The sequence below is a fragment of the Homo sapiens genome, chromosome 14 (genome assembly GCF_000001405.40).
Source record: "Homo sapiens chromosome 14, GRCh38.p14 Primary Assembly".
Lineage (NCBI taxonomy): Eukaryota > Metazoa > Chordata > Mammalia > Primates > Hominidae > Homo > Homo sapiens.
The window spans coordinates 71,151,763-71,156,373 of record NC_000014.9 but is presented as its reverse complement, the minus strand read 5'-3'; positions in this window follow the sequence as shown (position 1 = coordinate 71,156,373).

Sequence of the window (4,611 nt, the reverse complement as noted above, 5' to 3'; positions counted from 1 at the left end):
CCTGTAATCCCAATACTTTGGGAGGTCGAGGCGGGTACATCACTTGAGGTCAGGAGTTCGAGACCAGCTTGGCCAACATGGTGAAACCCTGTCTCTACTAAAAAAAAAAATACAAAAATCAGCCAGGTGGGGTGGCGGGCACCTGTAATCCCAGCTACTGGGGAAGCTGAGGCAGGAGAATCACTTGAACTTGGGAGGTGGAGGTTGCAGTGAGCCGAGATCGTGCCACTGCACTCCAGCCTGGGTGACAGAGCAAGACCCCGTCTCAAAAAAAAAAAAAAAAAAAAAAGAGAGAGAGGGAGGAGAGAGAAAGAGGTCAAAGAGCTAAGTAATTAAAGAACACACTCAAGCCTTGGTGCTTACAACCAGCAACCCCCAGCCAAGGCCACGCAGATGGGGGAGGTGGAGTGGAGGAATGTGAATTCTGCACATTCTGCAGTCATGGCCACCCCGCCCCCATCCTCATTGTCCAGAAGAAATGGAGGCCATGGTGGACAGGGCTTGCAGCAGCCAGCAGGAGCCCTGGCTGCAGTGAGGTGCCTAGCTAGCTCTCCACCGGTCAACAAGGCAAGAGAGGAGGACAGTGCAGGAGTAGCCCAGAGTTCCAGTGCGACTCAAGTGACAGCAACCACCCAGATTCCTACTCTATGGCAGGCTGGTGAGATTCTCCAAGTTCCTCTCCAGAAGGAAATTGCAATCAGGACCTGATGCCTTCAGCTGATTCTGACCCTGGGGGTAGTGGATTTATCAGGGAAGGACCCCCCAGGAGCAGAAGGCTCAGGTCATGATAGTGACACAGATGACCAAGCCATCTATTCTGAATAGTAGATGAAATGTGTCCTTACAAATACTGCACACTGGAGACATAGAACATAACAGTTGTACACATATTCTCCCTACTCCTTCACAACCTTGGGAAATAGATATTATTTCTATCACTCCCATTTTACACATGAGGAATCAGAGGTTTAGAGGGGTTAAATAAATTGCCGAAGTCACATTTCTTTGATCCCGTAAGGAGTTTTCAGTCCTTCTCCTCTTTGTTCTAATTCTCTGAGGTTAGACCCATTTTCATCCAGCAAGAGCTGGCCAAAGCCTGGTCAGTCCTGTGCATGGACAAGCAGGGCAGCAGGCTGGGAAGAGAAAGCAGCCTGGAGTGGGGCGGATGAGCTGGCTGGAGGGGATGGGGCAGGCTGTATCCCACAGTTCACTGCCAGGGTGACAACAGACACTCAGAGGATCTCTAAGGAGGCTCAAATGTGCTTGAAGGACACAGGGCTTCCTGAAGCTCCCAGGATGCAGGTTTAAATGACAGTTATCCAAATCTCTAAGGAATGGTTGGCTCTGAAGGGCTGGGGAAAAGGGAATCTATAGAAAACTGGACTGTATGCGCTGCATCCCAGATATGTGGTAGGTGTCGTGGCTTTTACATACATTAACAGGTTTTATCATCAAATTTTTTTTTTTTCTTTTGAGACGAAGTCTTGCTCTGTCACCGGGCTGGAGTGCAGTGGTGCGATTTCGGCTCACTGCAACCTCTGCCTCTCTGGTTCAAGTGATTCTCCTGCCTCAGCCTCCCGAGTAGCTAGGACTACAGGTGTGCACAACCACGCCTGGCTAATTTTTGTATTTTTTGTAGAGACGGAGTTTCACCATGTTGGTCAGGATGGTCTGGATCTCCTGACCTGGTGATCCACCCTCCTCAGCCTCCCAATGTGCTGGGATTACAGGCATGAGCCACCACGCGCAGCCTACCACATTCATTTTTAACTGCTGCATAGTGTTCCACTGAACAAACGTGTCTTTTTTTTTCTAATCAGTCCCCTACTAATTAGCTTTTTATCTTTGGTGAGAGAGAAGAAGTAAATGTAGATATCATTCATACTGTTACTAGGGTTTTTCAGTTACAAAAATGCTGCAGTGAGCATCCTTATGCTTACATCTTTGCCTGTATATATGAGTGTCATATAACATCTCTGAATTTTAGTACATTTATTTGAAATGCTTGAAACTAGAAGTGTTTTGGATTTCCATTTTCTTCTGGATTTTGGAATAGTTGCACACTGGTTGCATATCCCAAATCTGAAAATCTGAAATTCTCCAATGAGCATTTCCTTTGAGTGTAATGTGGGTGCTCAAAAAGTTTCAAATTTGGGGGCATTTCAGATTTCAGATTTTTGTATTTGAGATGCTCAACCTATAGGGACATGGCTCCCAGAATAAAGACTACATTTCTCGGCAGTCCTGCATTCAGGTATGACCAAGCAACTAAGTGCTGGTCAGTGGGACATAGCAGAAGCAATGCGTGTGACTCTGGGATTGCGGCTTTACAGGGAAGAAGTGTGGCTGCATACCTTTCCCCATTGGCCCAGGCTGGAGTGTGGATGTGGAGGGGAGCTCTTTTATATTATGCAGATGAGGATAGCAGTCTAGGATAGCAGAGCAACAAAATATGAACCCTGGGCCCACAACAACACAGAATCACACACTCCCACACCAACAGCTGTAGGTTGATTAAGCTGGGCTACTATGTCCAGAAAGAAATATACCTCTGTTGTGTTTAAGCCACTATTATTTGGGTTCTCAATTATGGCAATCAATCCAATACTCTAATTAAAATTAATATATTCACAGGATAAATTCAGAGCAGTGGAATTGCTACATCAAAAAGTATATGCATTAAAAAATTTGATTTCTAATACCAAATTGCCTTTCACAGCTGCTGCACTAATTTAGACTCCCACTAAGAGTACATGATGGCACCTGTTTCGCCAGAGCCTTGCCAACACTGCACATCATCAAGCTTCAAATGTTTGCCCATAGTTGAAAAGCAGCTAATAATTTAAAATTTTATATTAATGTAATTATGATGGAAAGGCAGAGTCTATGCCTATGTTTATTATTTTTTGCATACATTATCTTCCATCCTTATGCCAATTCTATGGCATGTTATTATTATCACCATTTAGTTTACTTCTAAAATGTTAACTGTGCAAGATGGCACAGTGCGTAAGTGACGGAGCCAGCTCTGAATTCAGGTCTGACTCACTCTAAAACCGGAGCTCTTTTATCTGCCTTGCCAGGGTTTCCACCTCCCTATCACCACCTGTATGTGTACTGAACAGGAACATGAGGGCCCAGACAGGCAGATCGGCCTCCATGGCCAGGTCCACCTGGGCCCACTGAAGCATCGATAAATTATGATCATCAGCTCTGACCTCAGGTAGTTGGACTCATGAACTCCTTCTTAAGACAGAGGTAGCTGTGAGGTCTTTTTCTGCTTTTCTCATTGAATGGCTACCAAGCCTGACCAACTTGTAAGCATCTTCAAAAACACTTTTTTCCTTTAGTTGTATTATGTCTAAAACCAGTAGAGAAAATTGCCTTTCAGAATAAAATTTGTAGCATGATCATCAGTAGCCTATATTCTAGGCAGAGAACAGCATCCTGACCAAAAGAAGAGGTCTTTGAGCTTCAATTTCCTCATCTTTATATTGAGAATAATCATCAGCTTTTTATCTTTGGTGAGAGAGAAGAAGTAAATGTAAATGTATGCTTTGTATATAGTAGAAACTCCAAAAATTATACCTATTATTTTTTAATTGTTAAGACTTCTTTCCAATACCCCTGCAGCTCGCAGGTCTATGAAGTACACACATTTATACTGATGTAACTAGGCCTCATTTACAAATTCATTCAGAAAATATGTATTGCTGAGTCTTGACATCTTTGGGCATGACATGAGGATAAGAGTCATAACACCAGCTAACACATGCATAGTGCTTACACCCATCCAGGAACTGTTCTGTCCTTTTCATGTACTGACCCACTTAACCATCACAACCACAACCCTAATCTGGAGGATCCCCATCTTACAGATGGGGGAGTCCGAGTTGAGAGGGACCAGTGAGCCACAACTCTCAGAGCTTAACCCCAGCGGCCTGGGTGAATTTCTTACACCTCCTGTAGCTACACCAGGCTTCTCACCGTTCTCATTGCTGTTCCCAGGTGTTCCTCCCCTTGGAGAATATTCTAGCCACCTGTATTAGCCCATTCCCACATTGCCATAGAGAAATTCCTGAGACTAGGTAATTTATAAAGAAAAGAGGTTTAATTGGCAGGGCTGTGAGCCAATTAAACCTCTTTTCTTTATAAATTACCCAATTAAACAGGAAGCAAAGCAGCTTCTGCTTCTGGGGAAGACTCAGGAAACTTAGAATCATGGCGGAAGGTGAAAGGGTAGCAGCCACATTTTATGTGGATTAAGCAGGAGGAAGAGAGATAGCAGGGAGGTGCTACACACTTTTAAACAACCAGATCTCATGAGAACTCACTCACTATACAGTACCAAGGTGGGGATGCTGCTAAACCATTCATGAGAACTTTGCCCTCATGATCCATCCAATCACCTCCCACCAGGCTCCACTTCCAACGTAGGGGATTACAATTGAATATGAGATTTGGATGGGGACACAGATCCAAACCATATGATTCTGTCCCTGACCCCTCCCAAATCTCATGTTCTCACATTCCAAAACAGAATCATCCCTTCTCAATGGTCCCCAAAGTCTTAACTGTGTCCAGCATTAACTCAAAAGCACAAAGTCCGAG